At 37.9% G+C, this 25,285-nt stretch overlaps 1 protein-coding gene across 14 annotated transcripts in view; it reads right to left on the bottom strand.

Moving 5' to 3' along the window:
- BABAM2 (BRISC and BRCA1 A complex member 2) overlaps positions 1-25,285 on the bottom strand; it is a 450,193-nt gene that overhangs the window by 269,620 nt on the left and 155,288 nt on the right. For all 14 annotated transcript variants that reach the window (NR_137438.2, NR_137440.2, NR_137439.2 and 11 more), the window contains one exon: positions 23,483-23,557. Coding sequence is in view for 10 of the 14 variants with exons in the window: in NM_001329112.1 (NP_001316041.1) it covers positions 23,483-23,557 (75 nt within the window). In the remaining 4 variants the exon portion in view is untranslated. The remainder of the gene's footprint in view (positions 1-23,482; positions 23,558-25,285) is intronic.

Below are 25,285 nucleotides of genomic sequence, written 5' to 3'. Positions count from 1 at the left end.
GAACATTCCAACATATTGTATAATTTCCTAATACCAAGTAAGTAAACCAGATAATTGCCAGTGGATCCTTTAATTTTAAGCAGTTGTTGAAAAGGCTAACTAAAGAAGGGGATGTAAGAAAAACGCCTGGAGAAAACAAGAGAGGAAGAGAACAAATGCAGGGGTATGAGGTAGCTGAGAGAACCAACAGGCTAATAGATGATGATGAAGAAGCTTTTCTCACTGATATGTAAATATACATGGATAGCTATCTTTATTCAGTTTGCCAGGAGTCTCCATTATCCTGAAAAGTGAAAATGTAATTAAGCTGTACCCCTTCACACTCTCATACACAAACACATGCACACTTATTTTCCATTAAAACACCCTTTGAAATAAAAGCGGAGAAAAAGTCAAAGCAGAATTTTTTAAATTCACGCACTCATTTTTTTTAGTTTTTATCAACCTAGTTATTTTGGGTTGCTATTCACTAAAAACTATAAGATATGTCGGTGTCGGGGCCATATGTTGAAAGTCAACGGGATTCTTTTTCTTCTAGCATTCTCTATCTTTCATTGGCAGGTTTTCTTAGTAAGATCTGTCATCTGGAAGAGCTCATTCTGCACAGTTGATGATTTTCCATAGGTTATGTTTTCAGGCTGAATCATAATCTTTTGTAGTTATAATCTGCTGAAATTCTCATTACACTCATACAATATTTAAAACATTTTGTGTTTTTATTTTTCCAAAATGGAATATAAGAGTTTTTCACCATCTTCACAATTAAACTAATATCAAATTGTCTTGACAGAATCTTTAATTATGGGGTAGAGAGTGATTAAGTTTTATAACTTAAAATCCCAGATCTACCACAGAGTTATAAACTCAGTATTTTATGTATTCTTAACAAAGGCTGTCTGCAGCAGCCAAGGGAGGTCACAAATGTTATACTGCATGCTTTGATTCTGATTTATGGTTAGGATTGTTAGAACTTGTATTTTGTGCCCTCGCTACATATGTAGGTTGTAAATATTGCATAAGAAGATTGGAATGCAATAGCCATAAAAATAATTGCAGGCTATTACATAATCAGAAGTCTGTTCCTATTCTTTATTACGGTAGTCTCATCATACTAAGTAATATATATGTACTGAATAAAAATAGAATGAGCTCTAGCATTATATTCCCTTTTATGTTTCTTTTAGATTTAAGATTTTAATTGCTACAATTGTGGATCACAGTGTTTCTTTAAAAAAAAAAGTAGAAAAAGCGAGGTCCACTCAAATAATGTAAGAACTCATCTACATTATCATTAAATCATTTTACATACACGCATATATTATTTTTTCTTTAAAAAGAAATTTTTTTAAAAAAGGAAAAAAGAAAATTCTTACTGAGTATACACTGTGTTCAGGGCACTGTGCTATAAAGCAAGAAAATACAAAGGTGAATTACACCAATTCTGCCATAAGGAGCTTCAACTCTTCCCAGCATCTGCCCTTCCTTCCTGTTTGTACTGCTACCTGTGGATCACTTCATTTCTAGTTCCAGTAGCCTCCTTTAACCTATGCTCCTTCCCTCCATGTGCCTTCCCCAGTGAAGTCTTAAGGTGCCACTTTGTACCTTGACTGTTTTAAAACCTGACATGACTCTTTAATGTGTACTGATGAAATCCAAATCCTTTAATCTGGCATTCCACACTCAACAATCTTGTTTGTCCTTGAACAGAATTCAAACTCATCCACCTCTGGGCCTTTCCTCAAACTTGCACTCTTCCTGGAGGTGACCGTTGTATAATGCCATATCTGATGGGTAAGATTTCAACAGATAGAAATTGTAATGTGGAGTATTACAGATTGAGGAAGACACAAAATCAAGAAAGTATAAGATGTGTTCAGGTTAACTGTTCAGTATGACCGTGGTATAAAATTGATGTAAGTAAGTAGAAGGGACAGGGACAATATATTAATAACATTCAAGAGCTATTATTATAGATCTGAGTATCTAACTATCTTTCTATCTCTCTGCCTACCTACCTAATACCTGTGTGGTTTTAAAACATGTCCACAAGGGCCACGCGCAGTGGCTCACGCCTGTAATCCCAGCACTGTGGGAGGCAGAGGCAGGCAGATCACCTGAGGTCAGGAGTTTGAGACCAGCCTGGCCAACATGGTGAAACGCCATCTCTACTAAAAATACAAAAATTAGCCGGGCGTGGTGGCACATGCCTGTAATCCCAGCTATTCAGGAGGCTGAGGCAGGAGAATCATTTGAACCCAGTGAGCTGAGATTGCACCATTGCACTCCAGCCTGGGCGACAAGAGCAAAACTCCGCCTCAAAAATAAATAAATTAATTAAACAAAATAAAATTAAAATGTCCACAAACTCTTCGATATTCCTACCTTCAAACGGTGGAGATAATTCCCTTTATCTTAAGTATGGGCTAGACCTAAATAACTTCCATGAAGTGAGTAAAAGGAAGTGGCAGTGTAAGACTTCACACTAGGTCAAAAAAGGCCCTGTGGCGTCCTCACTCTTCCTTGGATTGCTTGTTCTGGAAGAAGTCAAGCCCCATGTTGTGAAGACACTCAAGCAGCCTTTGGAGAAGCCGATGTGATGAGGCATCAAGCCTTCCTAATAACAGCCATGTGAGTGAACCATCTTGGAAGTGCATCCTCCAGCCCCAGTTCATCTTTCAGATGGCTACTGCAGCCACTTGAGAGACACTGAGCTGGAACTTCTCAGCTAACTCAATCCCAAATTCCTAAGCCAGAAAAACTGTGAGATAATGAATGTTTATTGTCTTAAGCCACTAAATGTCGAGTAACGTATTATGCAGCAATAGATAACTAATATAACCTATCGATACATGTCTACAAAAGAGGCTATCAGTGACTTCAAATATAAATATATATAATAATATTCCCAAACAATATACTAAAGAATAAAAAGCCTTTTAAGCTGTCATATTACTGATATGACTAATAAGTACAGTGAGGAACACTGACCACATTTATCATATTTACCAACATATATACGTCAGCATAGAATACAATGCCTAAGTCAGAGTCACAATTTAATAAATTATCGTGGCTGTTTTTTTTATTTTTTTATTTTTTATTTATTTATTTTTTTTTTGAGATGAGATGGAGTCTCATTCTGTCGCCTAGGCTGGAGTGCAGTGGCGCGATCTCGGCTCACTACAACTTCCACCTTCCAGGTTCAAGTGGTTCTCCTACCTCGGCCTCCTGAGTAGCTGGGACTACAGGCATGTGTCACCACGCCCAGCTAATTTTTGTAATTTTTTTTTTTTTTTTTTTTTTAGTAGAGACAGGGTTTCACCACGTTGGCCAGGCTGGTCTCAAACTCCAGACCACAAGTGATCCGCCTGCCTCGGCCTCCCAAAGTGCTGGGATTACAGGCATGAGCTACCGCACCCAGCCACAGTTCAATAAATATTGTTGAATAAATTGGTGGATCCTTTTCCAAGAACGGCTCTGAAGGAGATTTTCTTACATTATGATAAATTTCATGTCCTAGGTTTCTTAACAAAAGGCAAAACCAGGCAGGGCAAATGGAGAGAAAATATAATTCCTTAAAACTTTCTGTATTCAATATATTGCTTTTTAAAATTATGTTTTTATTGCAAAATAAAATACAAATATGGAAAACTACACAAAACCTATCTATAGCTTAGCGAATTACTACAGGACAAAACCACCCAGGTAGAGAAACAGAACTTTGTCAGCTATCCTAGAAGCTCCTTCAAGCTGTGTGTGTGTGGATGGATGTAGTTTCCTTTCCCTCATCCCAGACTATTCAGGCTTAGAATAACAGAGGCGATATTAAGGAGAACCACAACCCAAGGAGTGGCTCCTGTCACGGCCAGAACCTCGTGAGCACAGTTCTTTACGGCATTATAATTTGCTGCTAGCCATAGTACCTGTGAGTGAGAAGCCAGAGCAGTCTGACCGGATCAGGAATAGGAAGACTCTCAATGTAAACTTAGTATCTTTTTTTATGTTTAATACGTGGCATTAAAGAGGCACCAGTGGAATTTTCAAGTGAGAAGAGGTGATAGTGGTAACAGGTTTAGACCTCACACTTATGAACAAGTCAGGATTCTTGCTTTGTAGATTTTAATTTGGGATAGCTTTATATTACAGTGTTGACTAAAGTTAAACCGCCTTGATTTGTTATGATTGTCTAATAAAGAAACTTCTGATGGTGTGCTAAAGAAATGAAGTTGAACTTTCAGCTGTGTGCCCTCAAGTAAATGGTTCTTTTTTTTTTTTTTTTGAGATAGAGTCTCACTCTGTCGCCCAGGCTGGAGTGCAGTGGCACAATCTCGGCTCACTGCAACCTCCGCCTCCCAGGTTCAAGCATTTCTCCTGCCTCGGCCTCCCGAGTAGCTGGGATTACAGGCACCCGCCACCACATCTGGCTAATTTTTGTATTCTTTAGTAGAGAAGAGGTTTCACCATGTTGGCCAGGCTGATCTTGAACTCCTGACCTCAGGTGATCCGCCCACCTCCGCCTCCCAAAATGCTGGGATTACAGGCGTGAGCCACCGCACCCAGACAAGTATATGTTTCTTTACTGCAATTATGGATTGCCTGGGTGCACTAGCATAAAACTTCAGCCTCACACATGCCAATTCTCAAGTATATGGGTCTATGACAATTTTCTAAAATGAATCAAGTATCAATTGAACATTAGAGTATAGGAATCATTCAAAAGGCTGATTCTGAAAAATGAAAAAGAATAGCTTCATGTTGATTTCCAGCTTTTTGCAATATCATTTACGATAACTAGAAAACACTGAATCATTCTAAAATTATTATGGGAATTTGCTTAACTTCATTTAAGTTGGAAAACAGATCTTACACAGCCTTAACAAGGCTTCTAAGTCTTGCCCTTTAATGACGTAATTGTTTAGAGGTGCTAATAAAGTTTCCTGGACAGGCCAATATACTTCAAATGAAACAAGATTAGATTACTCCACCATTTTACAAGATAGCCTGCAGATGCCCACAAGATACGTAGTAGCAAACTAAGTTCCATTCAGTGCCAAGTAACTTGCTAATGTCACTTTTTTAGAAAGAAAGGGAGGTGAGATTTGTTGACAGGACTACTATGGGTCTCCACTAAAAAGTTCCTGTCAAAAAATAAGCATTTTCACAGTTCCACTGTATCAGAGACTACAAAGAATATGTGAAGCATTGAAATCCCAACCCTTCATCCAGTGAAAACGGCTTGCTCTACAGGAAGCCTCCATGGTAGTCTCTTGGGGTAAAAAGAGCGTGGGCTTTTGAGTGAGACAGACCTGAATTGAAATCCAGGCCCTGCCACATACAGTTCATACAGTTAGGATAACCCTGGGTAACCCATTCAACTTCTCTGAGCTTAGGTTTCCTCATCTTAAAAAAATGAAGATAATAATGCCTTACTGGCTTACTGGATGAGTCAAGATTTTTTTGATCATAAGTGACAGGAACCCAAATCATACTCACATAAAAAAAAGTTACTTATTGGAAAACTATGGGAGGGGCTCAAAGATTCCAAAGAAGAGCTGGTTATAGGAGCTGGAGCCAAAATAGTTTCTCAAACCTCAAGGACCAAAACCAAAAATCTCAGCACTGACAGTACTCTTTCTCTCTAAATCTTTATCACTCATCATTTTCCATGTTGGCTTCCTTTCATTCTCACTGTGTAGAGCTGCACTGTCCAAAATGGCAGTTACTAGCCAAATGTGGTTACTGAGTACCTAGAATGTGACTAGTCTGAACTGAGAGGTGGTAAAGGGTAAATACACTGGATTTTAAAGACTTGGCACAAAATATGTAATCATACAATGAGTCATTAACAATTTTTATTTTGATTATATGTTGAAATGATATTTTGAGTATAATGCGTTAAGTAAAACATTATTAAAACATTATTTCACCTACTTCATTTTAGTTCTTTCAATGTGGTTACTAGAAAATGTTAAGTTGCATATGCGGCTTGCATTATATTGGTACTGGACAGTGCTGTCTAGAGTCTTTTCCCACGTGATGAGAAACACAGCTTCTTATAGTTCTGGACTCAATTCAAGCTTACAAATATCTCAGAAAAGAAAAGGATTTTTCCTTCCTACTTAAGTTTGTAAATGTCCTAGGAAGGACTCTGACTGGGCAAGCTTAGATCACATACCCAGTTCTTAAACTAACCCCTGCCAGGCAGAAGGGGAACTGCACTAGACAGTCCTAGCAGAATCACATGGATGAAGGAGGGAAAAGAACATGGGCATGGGATACTACTACAAGAAGAAGGGGAAAAGACGTGCTAGGCAGACAAAACAACATACATCCACTGTGCCACCTTACAGGGTGGCTGTGAGATGTCTTTTATTCTGACCAATGTCTGTCTCTAAATGCTAGTGGTGACATTAAGTGGCTGTAAGTCATAACACAGAATGGCACACATTAGAAACCCTGGGGATAAACACTTGAGATTTCTACACCTGAGTGTTCATCAAATGTACCTGAACCAATGATACTAAGCCCTAGATGCTGGAAGCTTATAAGAAGGATTGATTTCAAAGAGCAATTGGTGAAGATCTCAGCTTTACTCTACATTGATGTGAGCTGATAATGCCTTTTTAACACAAGTATCATTGCTGATAATGCAGAAGAAGTTTTATGAAGCAGGTAACAATCCTGGAAATATGTTTTTTTTTTTTTTGGTTTTTTTTTTTTGAGATGGAGTCTTGCTCTGTTACCAGGCTGGAGTGCAGTGACGCAATCTTGGCTCACTGCAACCTCCACCTCCCGGGTTCAAGTGATTCCCCTGCCTCAGCCTCCCAAGTAGCTGGGACTACAGGCACGCACCACCACACCAGGCTAATTTTTTGTATTTTAGTAGAGACCGGGTTTCACCATGTTGCCCAGGATGGTCTCTATCTCCTGACCTCATGATCCGCCTGACTCAGCCCACAAAGTGCTGGTATTACAGGTGTGTGCCACCATGCCCGGCCAGGTTTTTTGTTTTTTTTTTTTTTTTGAGACGGACTCCTGCTCTGTCACCCAGGCTGGCATGCAGTGGCACAATCTCAGCTCACTGCAACCTCCATCTCCTGGATTCAAGCAATTCTCCTGCCTCAGCCTGCCAAGTAGCTGGGATTACAGGCACCTGCCAGCATGCCCAGCTAATTTTTGTATTTTTAGTAGAGAAAGGGTTTTGCCACGTTGGCCAGGCTGGTCTCGAACTCCTGACCTCAGGTGATCCCCTGACTTGGACTCCCAAAGTGCTGAGATTACAGGCGTGAGCCACCGCACCTGGCCAACAATCCTGGAAATGTTTATATGCTGTTTTGAATCTACTACCAAATACAACAGGCCATAAAGTCTACAGCAGCAGTTCTCAAAGTGTTTGGGACTCCCTTTTACAAGTAATGAGAATCATGAAGTGCTCCTATTTATGTGTGCTATCTCTGTTGACATTTAGCCTATCTGAAATTAGAACACAGGTTTTTAAAAAAAAAAAGTTATTGAAATTTTATCACGTTTTCTTCTAGAAGTTGTATAGTTTCAGGTTTTACTTTTAGGTCTATAATCCATTTTGAGTTAAACTTTACATGGAAATATATATATATATGTCAACAAATATATATATATGTCTTTTCAAGGCATGGATTGAAGTTTCTTTTCTTTTCTCTTTTTTTTTTTTTTTTTTTGAGACAGAGTCTCACTCTGTTGCTCAGGCTGGAGTGCAGTGGCACAATCTCAGCTCAGTGCAAGCTCCGCCTCCCAGGTTCACGTCATTCTCCTGCCTCAGCCTCCCGAGTAGCTGGGACTACAGGCGCCCGCCACCACGCCCAGCTAATTTTTTGTATTTTTAGTAGAGACAAGGTTTCACCGTATTAGCCAGGATGGTCGCTATCTCCTGACCTCGTGATCTGCCCGCCTCGGCCTCTCAAAGTGCTGGGATTACAGGCATGAGCCACCGCACCAGGCCTTTTCTCTTTTTTTTTTAAATATAGATATCCAATTGTTCTAGCATCATGTGTTGAAAAGATTATCTGTTCTTCTCTGAATTGCCTTTTGCACCTGGGTCAAAAATCAATTGTCCACGTATGTGTGGATCTATTTCTGAATATTCTATTCTGTTCCAATGATCTATACTGGTATATTTTTTTCTAGACCATCATCACACTGTCTTGATTACTGGAGCTTTATAATAAGTCTTTGAAATCAGGGAATGTGAGTCCTCCAATTTTGTTCTTCTTTTTCAAAATTGTTTAGGCTATTCTAGGTCCTTGGTATTTCAAAATAAATTTTAGAATCAGATTGTCAATTTTTACAATTTCTGCTGAGATTTCAACTTGCTAGAATTGTGCCAGATCTATATGCCAATTTAGGAAGAACTGATATCTTACGAGATTAAGTCTTCCAGCATATGAACATGACATATCCATTTGTTTAGATCTTCATTAGTTTCTCTCAGCAATGTTTTGTAGTTTTCAGGATAAAAGTCTTTCATATCTTTTCTTAGATTTATCTCTAAATATTCCATAATTTTGATGTTATTATAAATGTTATCTTTAAAATATCAAATTTTAATTACTTGTTAGCCTATAGAAATATAATTGATTTTATATATTGACCTTGTATCCTGCAACATTACAAAATTCACTTATTAGTTCTAGAAGCTTTTTTGTAATTTCCTTAGGCTTTTTGACATAGTCAACAATATCATCTGTGAAAAGATAGTTTTACTTCTTCCTTTCTACTCTAAATGTTATTCCTTTTTCTTGCTTTATTGCTCTGGCCAGGCCCCCCCAGTACTGAATAGAATGGTGAGAGTAACATCTTTGCCTTCTTAATCTTAGAGAGAAAGTATTTGGTCTTTTACAACATCAAGTATGATACTAGCTATAGGATTTTCATAGATGTACTTCTATCAGGTTGAGGAAGTTCCTTTCCATTCCTAGATTCCTAAGAGTTTTTTAATCAGGAATATATGCTCAATTTTGTCAAATGTTTTTTCTATGTCTATTGAGATAATCACATGATTTTTCTTTCTTAGTTTGTTAATATGATTAGTTATATTGTTGATTTTTGAATATTCAGCCTACCTTACATCCCTGGGATAAACTCCACTTATTCATAATGTATCATCCTTTTTATGTATCATTCTTTTGAGTTTGTTAAAATTTTATTTCAAATATTGCACCTGTGTTTATGAGACAGATGCATCTGGAGTTTTCTTTTCTTGTAATATCTTTGCCTGATTTTTGTCATCAAGTAGTGCTGTCCTCACAGAACAAGTTAGAAATCATTTCCCCTTTTTCAATTTTCCCAAAGATTTTCTATACTATTTCTTCCTTAAATGATTGGTGGAATTTACCAGGGAGGTCATCTGTGCCTAAAGTTTTCATGGTGGGAACATATTTAACTATAATAGACACAAGGCTATCCAAATTATCTACTTCTTCTTGAATAAACTTTGGTAAAATCCGAGAAAATTTCTAAAATGCAAGAACACACAAGCAAATATGGCCTTGGCTATCAGAGTGATGACACCATGTAGCCTCTGGAATACTCCACTATTCACTCATGAGGTATGGAAATTCTTAATTTTATTTTGAAAATAGTTTTTACCTCATGTACTCTCTGAAAGAGTCCTGGAAATACCAGCAGTCCTTGGACCATACTTGTGAGTTGCTGGTCTATGGAAAAGAGACTAAGAATGCCAACACTATCAGTATTCCAGGATCTTCTGCTAAAGAGTATTTTCATGAAGTACTCACATGACTTTCTAGGGTTAACACAAAGTTGACAAATCTAAATCATATCCCATCCTGCTTCAAGAGAGTCAAACTGCTTATGAGCAATCCTGGAACAAGGAGAAACACCAACTTTATTTCTGGGATTCACACATCCCAACTATATAATATGATCATAATATGAAAACAAATCTGCAACAGATACAAGGAAGAAAATGGATCTTCAGAAAAATGAAGGAAAGAGGGTAGATCCCTTTGTGACATTATTTTGTCATTAAACTAGATCAAGGTATGTGTGTACTGTTAAAATATGTTTCAAAATATTTTATAAAATAAAAAATCCCTCTCTTCTAGTTCTGTATTAAATGTCAATCAAGTCAAGGGCTTCTCCTATGCCAAATTCTGGAAATGTATTTATAAATAAAAATAAAAAGGAGGGGCGTGCTGGGTGACAATGATTGTAAAACTCAGCTAAGCAAAAAGAATAAAACCAAAAAACCTCAGAGACACCTCAGACTGCTGTATCTCAGGATAAGGGAGGCAACGGTAACCAGCAGCCACAGAAGGCACAGGGCGGGCTCGAATAATGCTTCTCAAACCATCCACAGTGAAGGAGCCGTTGTTGTTTGTTTCTCTCTAATCCATCACCAACTGATGGATTTGTAAAATACATTCAAAGTGAATTACTAGAAAAAGAAATCTTTTAAAACACATACAAAATACAAACCCAACATTTCTATCATTAGATTCAACAGATATATGATTATTCTGTCAGCTGCTTTTAATGTTTCTAAACGCTCTCAATGCTGTGTTTGTTTCATCAAGAACCAAAACTGATGCACTTTGGGTAGCACCGGCTAGAAGGTTCTGGCACCTTTCCTCTCCCCTACTTTCCCAGGTTAATCACTGAGTTAAGTGACCATGCACCCCAGCTGGTATATAAAATTATACAATGTTTATATATATACATATATATATATATTTTATATACACTTCAGCAAATCTAAAACATGCATCACCTGAAGCCTTGATATTAAGTTTTCTATCACCTTGAGCCCTGACTATGATAACAGGTCTGCATCCAGGGTCCAGCCTCATTTCCTCCTTCCTCCTCTCCATCATTTTATATTATGTTTCTGGCTGATTTCTATTCCTAAATACAATCCCAATTGTAATACTACCCTGCTCAAAAATAATGATTAAAATTTGAGTTAAGTATTTAAGGCTGTAACACTATGTCTTTAAAATGCCCTTCCTTTCTTATCTCCCACTACTTTGTACACAAGTTCTACGTTTTAGCCAAACTGGACTGTTCAACTGTTTTCCAACTGTGCTACTGTTGCCACCTAAAAAAATGCTTGTTCTTTCTGTCTAGCTTCTTTTTTTTTTTTGAGACAGTCTCACTCTGTCACCCAGGCTGGAATGCAGTAGCGTGATCTTGGCTTACTGCAAGCTCCGCCTCCCAGGTTCACGCCATTCTCCTGCCTCAGCCTCCCAAGTAGCTGGGACTCCAGGTGCCCGCCACCATGCCCGGTTAATTTTTTTGCATTTTCAGTAGAGACGGGGTTTCACTGTGTTAGCCAGGATGGTCTCGATCTCTTGACCTTGTGATCCTCCCGCCTCGGCCTCCCAAAGTGCTGGAATTACAGGCGTGAGCCACCGTGCCTGGCCTGTCTAGCTTCTCTTTATCAAAACCAAGTCTTTCAAGGCCGTTCCAAATGTCACCTCCTTTATAAAGGTTTTTTTCCCAGCCAGGTGTAATCCTCTCTCACCAACCTACTAAATTTTGTACTTTTCTTAATAATTAAGTATTATCCTAACATGCATTACACTATTATCTGTGTAGTCACCTTACACCATTAATCAGCTTTTACCTTTATTTGAGTTGTAGGTCTGCTGATTGATGAAAATGGAGTAATGAGAACAGATGACAGAAACAAACCGGCACAACCTGTCAGGTGCCAGGTGGCACCTTTAAGATGTGGGTGAAGAAAACTCTACCATAGAGGAAAGTAGTTCCAGATTAAAAAAAAAAAATGGTCACCTGTAGTGATCACATCCCATAATTCCTGTTAGTCTCACTGTGCTATATGGTTCCAATCCCCACTTCCCTTTCTGGATCATAGGTTGCAAGGCTTCCCTCATAAACGGACTGAAGAAAATAGGGCAAATCCAAAAAGCTGATATGAAGGGATTAAGTCTACACATTGGCTTAGGAAAACCAACTGCTTAAAGCTGGATTAGTAAGACAAGGAAGTATGGTCTTCTACAAACTCAAGAAGTACGAATTAATGTTGATGCTTAGAGTCTTAATAAACACTGACCTGATCAACCCTCCCTGGAGTTTTGTGCTTATTTTTGGGCACCACAGTTTAAGAGAGATGCTGGCAATCTGGAACACTCCCTAAAGAGAAGTATGAAGATGGAGAAGGACTTAAAAACCTGCGACATATTTGGAAAGTGCAAAGGACTAAGAATGCCTAGCCTATAAGTTTTAAAATACAAGTGTTGCTGCTATAATATGATATACGCATTCCTTAAAAAATTGCATTCTAGTAAATTACATACTAAAAATAAGAGACTTATGAGGAAAATATAGACCACTTAAGGCCTGCACAACTTTGTAAGCACAGCACTGACAAAAACCAAAGTAATTTCAGTAAAATATTAATGTATTTAAGATGCTATATTCCCAATAATAAGTGACACAATAAATAATACAGTATGCCTCCAAAGCTTGCTATGTTCATATGTATTAGTGTACTTTGCATTTAGTTGCTGTATTTAGTGGTCAAAATAATTAATGTGCTAGAGAAAAAGTCAACTGTAAGCCATAGCTGCTTTTGTATTATACTGACAGGCTTCTACTATTTGCCAATTGTGAACGAACTAATTCATGTTACTAAAGCATGTCCTGTAGAAGAATAGACTGTACTTAAATGACAATCACTATAAATGGGGACAGGGTAGCAAAGCAGGTCAACTGATAATCATTTGAGATACACCTACATTCTAAAATAGAAATTTTGAAAAAAAGAAAGAAGCACATCATAAAAAAAAATTTTAAATAAACTGTAAAACAACAAAAGAAAGCCAAAAGAGGAAGGCTCTCTTTTTTAAAAAATAAATTTTATTGTGTATATTTAAGGCATACAATCTGATGTTATGGGATATATACAGACAATAAAAAGGTTACTACAGTGAAGGAAATTAATACATCCATCATCTCACATAGTTACCCATTTTTTGGTGGTTGTTTTTATGGCCAGAGCAGCTGAAATCTACTCATTTAGCATGAATTCCATATATGGTACAATTCTATAACCTGTAGTCCTGTTGCACATTAGAGTGCTAGACTTGTTCATCCTACACAGGTGCTCTTCGTACCCTCTGATGTACACAGAAGATGTATCCTACATCCCCCCATTCACCACTCACCACCACCCCCAACCCATGGTAACCTCTGTATTGTTCTCCACATATATTTGAAATTTTTTTTAAGATTCTACATACAAGCGAGATCATGCAATACTTTTCTTTCTGTGTCTGGCTTATTCCACTTAGCATCATATCCTCCAGGCTCACCCATGTTGTGGCAAATGGCAAGATCTCATTCTTTTTTAGGACTGAATAATATTTCAAAATGCATATGTACCACAGTTTCCTTATCCATTCAACCACTGTTGAACAATTAGGTTGTTTCCATATGTTGGCTCTTGTGACTAAAGCTGCAATGAACATGGCTGTGCAGAGATCTTTATGAGGTGGTGATTTCATTTCCTTTGGTTATATGCCCAGAAGAGGCATTACTGGTAGTTCTATTTTTAATTTCTTTAGAAACCTCCATTGTGTTTTCCATAATGGGTTACCCCAATCTACATTCCAAGAAACTACCTGTAACTTCTTTTTTCCAAGAAACTACCTGTGACTTCTTCATTTTTACTAAGAAAATATATATACCATTGTCAGAATTACCATAAATCATATTTGGAAACTTAAGGCAAGTAAAAATTTAAGTTTTGAATTCTACATAAGGGAAATCAGAAGAGAGGAAAAATTAAGTAGTAAACATAACTCTGTCATAATTTCAATGAAATTTTTTCTTTTTTTTAACTTTTATTTTAGGTTCAGGGGTACATGTGCAGGTTTGTTATACAGGTGTATTGCATGCCACAGGGTTTGGTATACAGATTATTTTGTTACCCAGGTAATAACCATAGTACTTGACAGGTAGTTTTTTGATCCTCACCCTCCTCTCACCCTCCACCCTAGGGTAGGCCTTGGTGGCTATTTCTCCCTTTTTTGTATCCACATATACTCAAAGTTCAGCTCCCACTTATGAGTAAGAACATGCAGTATTTGGTATTCTGTTCCTGTGTTAGTTTCCTTAGGATAATGACCTCCAGCTCCATCGCTGTTGTTGCAAAAGACATGATCTCATTGTTTTAATGGCTGTACAGTATTCACTTGTGCATATGTACCACATTTTTTTCATCCAGTCTACCACTGATGGGCATTTAAGTTGATTCCATGTTTTTGCTATTGTGAATAGTGCTTAGTTCCACAGTAAATTCAATACTTTGAAATACAAATTAAATGACTTAATGAAATCAAAACCATTTCTATTCTGCACCTGCACCAAGCTCAGAAGTGTATTAAGTACCATCATATTTATTATCTCATTAATAGTCCCAACAATCCTGTGTGGTAAGCATAGCTATCTTAGTCAGTTCCAATTCCCATAACAAAACACTATAAACTGCGTAGCTAACAAAATACTATAAACTGTGTAAAAAACAGAGAGTTGTTTCTTACAGTACTGGAAGCTAGAATGTCCATGATCAAGGTAGCAGCAACTGTGGTGTCTGGTGAGGGCCTGTTTCCTAGTTCACAGATGGTGCCTTCTCACTGTGTCCTCAGGCCTGTTAGCCCTCTAGGGCTTCTTTCATAAGGGTATTAATCCCATTCACCAGGGCTCCACCCTCATAACTGAATCACCTCCAAAGGTCCTAACTCCTAATACCATCACCTTGGGGATTAGGATTTCAACATATAAATTTGGGGGAAGGTGGGTATAAAATTTCAGATCATAATAATAGCTAACGTCATTTTAACAGTTTGGGAAACTAAGACTTGGAAGATAATTCAGTAAATTTTATGTTACTAACAGATGATTTAAAATAAGAGAGAAGATGGAATAAAAGAAGGAAGGTTAAAAAAAGGGTAGGGGGAGAAAGAGAAGAAGGGAGACTTCAACAGAGTTGAAGGTACTAATCAAACATAAACAGAGACCATGGTATAAAAACCACGGACACTCACTGAGCCAAATCCCTTTACGTATCTATTTATGATGCACCAGGTGTCTTTGTGAAGAAACACTCCCCTCCATCATCTAGAAAAGGGATCCACAAACTACTGCCTATGGGCCAAATCCAGCCCAATGCCTGGGCTGGATTTAAAAAAACGGTTTATCTTTTACTTTAAAAATAAACGTTGTTTTGTTTTTGTTTTTAGAAATTCATATTTTTTAATTGACAAATAATAACTGTACATATTCATGAAAAACATAGTGATGTTTCTATACACATAATGTATAGTGATCAGATCAGGGTAATTAGCATATCCATCATCTCAAACATGAAAATAAAGTTTTATTGGAACTCAGCCACACTCATTCATTTACATATTGTCTGTAGCTGCTTTCATGCTATGAAAGCAGAGTTGAGTAGTTGTGACAGAGACCATATGGCACACAAGTCTAAAATTTTACTATCTTGCCCTTTAGAGGAGCCTGCTGGACCCTGAACTAGAGTGTATTTTTCCCTAAGTCCTGTCTGCTCTCTAGAGAAGGGAGGTGGAACAAGGACGAGGTACTGAGCGCAGCCATGGGTCCACTGCTTAATAAAGAAAGAGACAGATTCCCTGCAGTGTAAGTGTTCAGACCATCTCACTGCTTTCTTTGTGATTAAGTCTCAAATGCAAATTTTGGCTCAAATTTAGCAAGGATAAATCGTCTTATTACAGGAGTAAACAGCACCCTACTTTTATGGCACTATCTTCCCAGTACTCCTTCCTACTTTTAGAAAAGTATGCCCACTCCTATTTGATTAGACAGAAATTATTTCCTTTAAGATAAGAAGATGACGGTTCTGTGTGAATTCTTTATGGTCCTTCAAGTACCAGACGACTATTTTGCTTTAAAGCTAGATTTTACAAGAGTGTGTTAAAGCAGTCTTTCTCTCTAAAAGCTGACTATTAAGTGTGACTTTACTGATTTCAAAAAAATTCCCTGAACTTAAAAGTCTCAAATTCAGAGGAGTTATTTAATCTGTGGTTTAGAGAAAAACTTGTAAGGTCAGCCTTTGAATTTATATATTCTTATCAGAATCAAAGGCTTTTCAATGTTTCTATCTTACATGTGCTGAAAAAGAATTATAATCAATACATACCACCCTAACAAGCTTGCTGGATTTTAAATAAAGTGAATATCTGGGGGGAAATTACCAGTTTCCTTTCTAGCAAACATGTAATGCTAAATGGGCTTCAAGCATTTCCAAATAGTAAAAGACAATGCAAGAATTCATCCACAAAAAAATTCCAGTAACGTTAATCAGTCTAATGTTCTTCTGGGTGCAGGGAATGCAAAATCCTCCCCTGTTCCTAAGGGCAGATGAGAAGAATGAGAAATTTCAAAACTCTGCCAACTTATTCAATCTTTAATGGCAAGTCACAAAATGTGACTGTCATACACACACTTTGTTTTTTAACACTCATGCCATTACCTATTTCTCCTAACAATATAAAAGAATGACAGCACCACTTGAAATGGGCTTTTCCAGGCAAAATTTCCTTTAAACTTTTCCAGGAGAGAACATTGATATAATGATCATATTTAAGCATATCACGAATTAAAACAACTTCTTAAGAAACCTTCTCTATGATTACGGCCGGGTGTGGTGGCTCACACCTATAATCTCAGCACTTTGGGAGACCCAGGCAGGCAGATCATTTGAGGTCAGGAGTTCGAGACCAGCCTGGCCAACATGACGAAACCCCATCTCTACTAAAAATACAAAAATTAGCCAGGCATGGTGGCACATGCCTGTAATCCCAGCTACTGGGGAAGCTGAGGTATGAGAATTGCCTGAATCCCAGAGGCGGAGGTGGCAGTGAGCCAAGATCGTGCCACTACGCTCCAGCCTGGGTGACAGAGCAAGACTCTGTCTATTGGAAAAAAAAAAAAAAGCAAAAAAAAAACCTTCTCTATGATTATTTTGGCTAGTATGCTATCATTTCAGTTGTTTCTTCTTAATAGTTTCACTTGATCATTTCAGTTCTTCAAGTTTCCATCCCATTTCCAAAATTCATTTTGTCAGATACCCACTGAGTACATTTTCTAATCATTCATATCCTCATGAACACCAACAATCTGGCCTCTATTCTGGTCATCCTACTTAAAGTGTTCTCTCTACTCTCACCATCCCTATCATCCTCACAAATTCAAATGCTTTTTTTCTTGGTTCTAATTCTTTCAATGGCATTTGAGTATTTCCTTCATCATGAACATTTTAAAACCCTGACTTGGCCAGGCATGGTGGCTCATGCCTGTAATCCCAGAACCTTGGGAGGCCAAGGTGGGTGGATCACCTGAGGTCAGAAGTTCAAGACCAGCCTGCTCAATGTGGCAAAATCCCCTCTCTATTAAAAACACAAAAAATTAGCCAGGCCTGGTGGCAGGAGCCTGTAATCCCAGCTAGTCGGAAGGCTGAGGCAAAGGAATTGCTTGAACCTGGGAGGTGGAGGTTGCAGTGAGCCGAGATGGAGCCACTACACTCCAGCCTGGGCGACAAGAGCAAAACTCTGTCTCAAAAAAAAAAAACACACCTTGACCTTTATGACTCTGAGCTCCTGTTGTCCTTCTACATATACGACAATTCTCTTCCATTGGATTCTCCAAATTCAGGTTTCTCCACAGTTGTGTGCAAAATTTCCTCCTTCAAAAGGTTCACTTTGGTTTCATTATCCTGCTTCTTTTCCACCTTGACCTTTTAGCACCTCTCTCATTCTAGCTGCCAATAATCAAAATAAGATATTCTGTCAATACCTCCAAATAAACACAGTCTTGGGCAAGTAATTGAATTTCTTTGGACTTCTCCTTATTTTTATGTCAATTAAGTGAATTATCCAGAAAAAGATGAAAGAGTAGGAATTTCAGAGCCAGAAAGAAGAGCATGAGCAAAATGACAGCACTGGGAATTCTCACAGCACTGGCAGGACACTGCGGATAGTTGCCTTTCTGAGATTAAACGCACATTTTGGGAAGCTGTGTAAAACAGCACTGCATGGGAGAATGGGCTCTAGAAGCAGCATCCAACAAGTAAGTACTACTCATTTTGAGAAACGTTACAGGAGACTAACAGTAACACTGCAGGAAGATTGGGAACTGAAGAGAATGGGGCCAAGGAAATAGCTCTTACCATGATAACCCAGTTATAAGGGGATTAAGACTACCTGCTAAATGAAGTCTAAAATCAATCTCCCAGCATTCAGTATCTTTCCAACTTTTTTTCCTGGTTTTATCTCTCAGTAGTCTCTTGCAGGAAATTTCTCTTGCAACCTAGATTACTACCTACTTCCCAAATCAAGTATGTCCACACAGTCCCACCACTGACTGCATGATCATCCATCCCTGATCTGTTCCTCCTCCCCTCCAGCCTTGAAAAGCTATGCCACTTAGAGGTCTAGCTAATGCCCAAACTTGGTCATAAAGATTTTATGACCTAATCATTCCAATCCATAACAATTTTATTCTTTTTAAAAGCTTACTGGGCAGGTAGCGTACAAGTTAACACTTAACTATTTATCAGTAAATGTTAACTTATCAATTATATTATAAGGTCTCTGAGGACAATGATTATGCTTGAATTTCTTTTGTTGTTTGTCTAATCCCAGTATCATTTTATGGCAAAATCAGTACTTAGGTGTTCTGCACAGTACCGCACTCAAAAACCAAGCCAAACTCATTCTGGCCACTCTGTTGCAGTTGTGATAAGCGGCTCAGGATATTGAGTGGCACTGCAGTTCAAGGTTCTCCTGTTACCCACTGGGTCATAGTAAGATCTCCCTGAATACCACACTGTATAGTATAAATCAAGGAAAGTGAAGAAAAGCCTTCTGCCACCCACCTGGTACAAGACAGTTAGGTTTTAGAGCAAGGGTCACAAATTAACCCACAGGCCATGGCTACGACATAGAAGTGTTCTTGCACAGTGTTTGTAAACAATATTTATCATTGCTATTACTTAAAAGATAGTAGTTTTTCATATTAACAACAACATCAACAAGAAGCCCTGAGATTCTGGGCTCCTTTTTAATAACATCTGGATATCTGGCAACACCAGTCCCAAATTATCAAATGGAAAACAACTCTGTAGCTGTATAGCAGCTGCTGCCTTTAGATGAAGCACATACATGCTAGTTCACTCCAGTCCCTACCATTTCCTATTGTATTGTATCAAGTCAGATTCACTCCTTTTCAGTACTTGCCTGGCTCTGTGAATATCTGCATTTGCTACTAGGTTTGGTTAGAAAGCAGACTGACTATAAGTAGGTAGCCGGCTGGCCAATGTCAGGCTGAGGAGGCTGCTCCTGCATCAGATAATCTCAGCACACCTAGATGCTCTCTTCCATGTTAGTGATCTGCTTAGACCATTGCATAGTTACATATTCACAACTCTCTGCCTATCCTAGGCTCCTGAACAAGTCTAGACACCCTGAACTGAATTCCTGCTTTCTGCCTCTGTTTGGCAGAGTGACCTGGGCTCTGCACTGATTGTGCCCTGACTGATCAGTACAGCCACAGTGACTTCAGAAGAAGGATGAGAACTTCATCTCTTGTATAAACAACCTATTTTAGCTTTTTCACACTCAATTAATTTCGCTGTAGTGTCATGATTCAGATTCCACAGTAGAACTAAATTTCTACATGCAATCCATCAGGATGAATGGGCTCAGTGTGTGATATTAAATAATGCCAATAAAAGTCCAAGTACTTCAGTCATAGTCAATTGGTTATAGCCTTACTTCTAACCTGGGCTAGGGCTCACTGATTTCTAGTTTAGAGATACTCCAACAATTTAGCCTACATAAACAATATGGTCTTTTCTTACCCAACAAAAAAAAGTTAATGTTGATTTTCTTTGCACGGTTATATTTGCCATATCCAGTATCAGCAGGAAATAGTTGCTATTTAACCCTCCAGTTCAGTGGGATAAAACAATTTGCCTCCATATTTTTGTATGATGCTACTGAAGGGATTCCTAGCTCTAGGATTTAACTTCACTGTATTCTGTATAAAACTGGCTTACTATTTTAAGTGACCAATTCAAACACACATCATATTTACAAGTAAGCCTCTCCTATCCCCCAAAATACTGTATTCTTAGTTTCTAAGCTTCTTGTTCAGAGAATAAAAATGTTAGTAGACAATTCAAACCTTTTCTTTAGCTACTTTTCTATGGAGTATGGTTTTACAGAAAACAGAAGCAAAAACAAAAACACAGCCTTCTTAGCATCATATTGTTAAGTTCACTAATTCTCAGGACAAAAATAAAGACAGGAATACACATACAGCACTTTTCACCACACTCTAAGAAAATTAAGAGCAGCAGCATCTAATGACTAGCTGTTCGTTAAGAGAAAGTATGTAATTATAAAACCATCTTTCTTTGGTTCAGTAACTGTAGAGAATACTTGCACTTTGATCATTTCTGTAATCTCCTCTTTATGCTGGGGACCACGATTTCTCCCCATAAACACACCAGTTGAGAAGTTCAGGGGTACACAACTGAGCCCAGTGGAACAGACATAAGACAGTTGGTCTACGCCTGATCTGTAGAGTACTAAGTATGGACTGTTTCCTGCTATACAGACCACAGAAGAAGAGGATTTGTATGAAATTTCTCATCTGGTCTACATGAGCTCATGCTGGATTTCAACCACCTGCAAAATGAGAATCCTAATAAATACAGAAATATTTTTCGTGTTTATGTTAGTGATTCATCTGACCCTTTGATTAACCTCAACCAAAAGTGAAATTCAGACTCTGAAATCAGACTTCATCTTCAGAATAAATTCACTCTATCCCCTGTAAGAACCACATATGTTTACAATACAATATTAAGGGAAATCATATCACTGAATATTGAATGGCTTTTTCATTTTAACATAAAATAATTCTATTAGTGGGCAAAACAGGCACACCTGGTAATATGAACTTATGAGTGAATGATGGCCTCATCACAGTGTAATGAAATGTCATTGTAGCAAATCAATAGGGTATGCAGTCTAACTCCATACTACTCAATATTTTCAAGTTCTACCTTCCCTTTTATTTGTTTGAAATGATAAGGTAAAACTATATTGATGCTGGTGAAGAGTATCCTAACCCTAGGAATTCAGGAAGTTTATTTTTGTAGTTAGACTATCAATTATAGGCCTAGTAATTAGATGAGGAGCATCCAAATGCAAATAATATGTAAAGCAGCTCCTAAGGCAAACTTCCTTTGAAGAGCATAACCACATGTTACAACAACTTTAGGAATGTAGATATTAAAACCCTCAACAAGTATTCTGGATTGCTTCTGGTGTGCTGGTAGGTTTCTGTTTCTGTTTTTTTGGCTGTTGCTTTGTGTTACACAAGAGTTTCTCCTTTTTGGTCATTGTTGTTTTACTCTTTTTGCATGAACTTTAAAGATCCAGAAGGACATTAGTGTTGCAATGTAGATATTTTATCTATAGAAGAGACATCATTTCACAGTAATGCAGGGGTTAAACAACATTACTGTTTTGGCAAATAGATTCCACCTTTCTCTTAACTGACTGGCAAGGAAAATAAGAACAGCATATAAAGTTAGAATTCTTAAAATAAAAATATGATAATTTGATGCTGAAGAGATAAATATGAGATTATGAGCCAACAAACATTTTTTTCCTTTGACCCTTCAAGAATATGAGCAGAGGCAACATCAATTTCAAATAAACAGGAAGACTGCTGAAACTGATAAGGCACAGTAAATTAAAACAAAGCACTGTAACTGTAAATTGTGGATTATATAAATCAGGTACTTTCATATGCTGTTGAACTTGCCTCTAAATGAGCTGAAAGAGAGTTTTAACTGGAATACATGGAGGAGGTCCTGAGTATATGCTATAAGGGTTTCTTAGAAGACTGCTTACTAGTCTAATAGAGCATAGTAATTGCCAAAATCAAATTAATTATGCTTGGTTATCACAAATCTAATATATATATTTTCCACAACAGGATTGTAGAGAAACTGATAGAAATTGATGATTTCCATTCTTATTTGGACTTTACAACTCTTGGGTACAAAATGGAGAACTAGTCAACTGGAAACTAAAAACGAAAGTTTAATGAAGTACAAAAATCCTATGTTTTACTTAGCGAAAAAGAAAATAATTTTCCTCTTTAGATGGACTGTATAGACCAGGAACAGTGGCTCACACCTATAATCCCAACATTTTGGGAGGGTGAGGTGGGAGGACCACTGAGACCCTTTCTCTACAAAAAACAAAAAATTAGCTTGGCACAGTGGTGCACGCCTGTAGTCCCAGTTACTCAGAAAGCTGAGGTGGGAGGATCACTTGAGCTTGGGGTGAGCTATGGTCACACCACTACACTCCAGCTTGGGTGACAGAGCAAGACCATGTTTCCAAAAAAAAAAAAGATGGAATGTATTAAAAAAAATTCCCTAACCTTTTCTATGGTTTATAGTTTATATTCTACTAAGTCATACTTATAACCATTATAAAAATTAATATCTAATATTATTTATTGATTAGTATAATATGCAAGCAAACTTGTACAAAGATTCTGTCTTTTCTCTAGGCAGTTATGAATACCATTAATTCTCTGAACAACATCAAATTAGGAAGATAGAAATTTTTCTTATGCTAGATTGCAATTAAAGAACCACAAGTACAAATACAGCACAGAGGGAGGCCAGCCAAATCTTTTTGTTTGTTTGTTTTTTATCTGTTGTTTTTTGTTTTTTGAGATGGAGTCTCACTCTATCACCCAGGCTGGAGTGCAGTGGCTCGATCTTGGGTCACTGCAACCTCTGCCACCCAGGTTCAAGCGATTCTCCTGCCTCAGTCTCCCGAGTAGCTGGGATTATAGGAGCCTGCCACCATGCCCGGCTAATATTTGTCTATTTTTTTTAGTAGAGACAGGGTTTCACCATGTTGGCCAGGCTGGTCTCAAACTCCTGACCTCAGGTGATCTGCCCACTTCAGCCTCCCAAAAAGCTGGGATTACAGGCATGAGCCACCGCGCCCGGCCAAGGGCCAGAACCTCGAAGGCAGTGGCTAGGGTGTTTGCAGAATGGAGTGGTGACTAATATTGCATATTAGGTAATTTATATGAGAGTCTTTCATTCCAGTAACATTATTAAATAAAAGCGATTTTTCCCAAAGTTTAATTCACTTATAATAATTTTATTTTAATATGGAAAACTCACTTCTAAATGACTTTCACAGTTACTATTTTAGCTTTTAGGCAGCAAAACAGCTCAATGGAACTTCATGTAAGAAATATTTTTAATAGAATTCATCATCTGAACAAAATGCTGACAAACCAGTCATACAAATATTGAGTTAAATAATTACTTAAAAAGCTCACTTATATTCTCATACTGAAAATCATATATTTTTACCTTGAGAAGGTATGTGGGGATATTGCTGAAATCTACGGGCAGCTTCAAAAGGAAACGAGCTGAAAATTCACCAGTCTGTAAAAAGAAAGTTATAATAATAAGATTAAAATCAAAAATAGATTATGAAGTGACAATTATAGCCAAGGCCACAAGTTCAACCTGTTCAAAATGCAGGCATCTTCAATTTGGTTTTCCTAACGTTAGGCAAGAAAAGAAGGTTGGAAAAGTAGGGGAGGATCAGAAAGAGTTCTTAAATTATTAGTTACTAAAAAGCACAATTTGAGTTTTTAAAATCTGCATTTTAAATGTACAATAAAATTATAATTTAGCAGAATTGCCTTTTTGTTTCTTAAAAGTATGAAAAGAATATATGAATGTATGATTATTATTTTTTTAATCCCAAACAATAAAGACAGACCTACCCCTTTGATTCATTTGTTTTTATTAAAGCATTCAGACCACATCACTAATATTTATAAACCACAAGGCTGATGGCATACACCACCATCCTTTCTGGATGTACATGCAAAGGTCAAACTTCTACCTAGCAGTGGGTATTCAAAATAAGTTTCTCATCTCCTGAAAGTCCACTATATCATTATCATTAACTGATGTTTTTCATAACTCCCTCCATGAACTAATCTCTATAGGAAAGAGGTACGGAGGTTTGGCGATTTAAAACATTTAACTAAGCTATAAATAATAGCTTCTATTTGCTAAAACAGAAAACTCATTTAAAAGAAAAACGTCTGCCTCTCAATTTTTATGACAGGAAAGCCTAGGGAATCACTTTTTTTTTTTTTTAACTTTGTCATAGTCTAGAGGAGGAGTTTTCAAACTAGATCATGCAGAGATCTAGAGGTGCTAGAGAACCTCTGCAAAGGTAACAAAGATGCGTCCTGACCTGGTGGAATCCTCGGTCTTCCATCCTGTCTCACTGCAAGTGTGCAGCTCAGCCTGGTATTTTGACATGGTGTGTTTTACTTAGACATATTTGAAAAAAGAACTCCAGAAATGATCCAGAACTACTCAGAGTGGATGTCTATCCTTTTAATATTGTAACTACCAAAGAGTTCCCGCTCTTTAAAAAATGAGCAGCACAAACTCCCCTAAACACATCTTAAAACATAGCAAGCGTTTACAAATATTTGTATGAGTGGGTGGATGAATGCACCTAGGCACACATGCATAGCACTTTAGACAGTTTCACCACAGCCTCCACTCCATTCTACAAACACCCTAGCAAGTGGTTTCAAGGTTCTGGCCCTTGCCCGGGCATGGTGGCTCATGCCTGTAATCCCAGCACTTTGGGAGGCCAATGCAGGCAGATCACCCACGGTCAGGACATCGAGACCAGCCTGGCCAACATGGTAAAACCCCATCTCCACTAAAGAATACAAAAATTAGCCGGGCGTGGTGGCACGTGCCTGTAGTCCCAGCTACTCGGGAGGCTGAGGCAGGAGAATCACTTGAACCTGGGAGGCAGAGTTTGCAGTGAGCCAATATTGCACCATTGCACTCCAGCCTCGGCAACAAGAGCGAAACTCCGTCTCAAAAAACAAAAAAGGTTATGGCCCTAATTTTAAAACTCTGATCTAAACCTTAAAAATACAGACAGAAATATATTGAGCTCTGAAGATAATAATAATAACTAATATCTGCCTAAATGTTGTTTGTTTTACCGCTCACAGCATCTTTTAACTTACACCAATCTCTGGCTAAGGACAGAGCATTTCTTCATTACCATAAGCCTAACCCTGTGACAGACAAGGCGGAAATGAGAATTGAATGGACAGAATCAAA

This window comes from Homo sapiens, chromosome 2 (assembly GCF_000001405.40).
Source record: "Homo sapiens chromosome 2, GRCh38.p14 Primary Assembly".
Classification (NCBI taxonomy): domain Eukaryota; kingdom Metazoa; phylum Chordata; class Mammalia; order Primates; family Hominidae; genus Homo; species Homo sapiens.
This window is presented reverse-complemented; position numbering and strand designations above follow the sequence as displayed.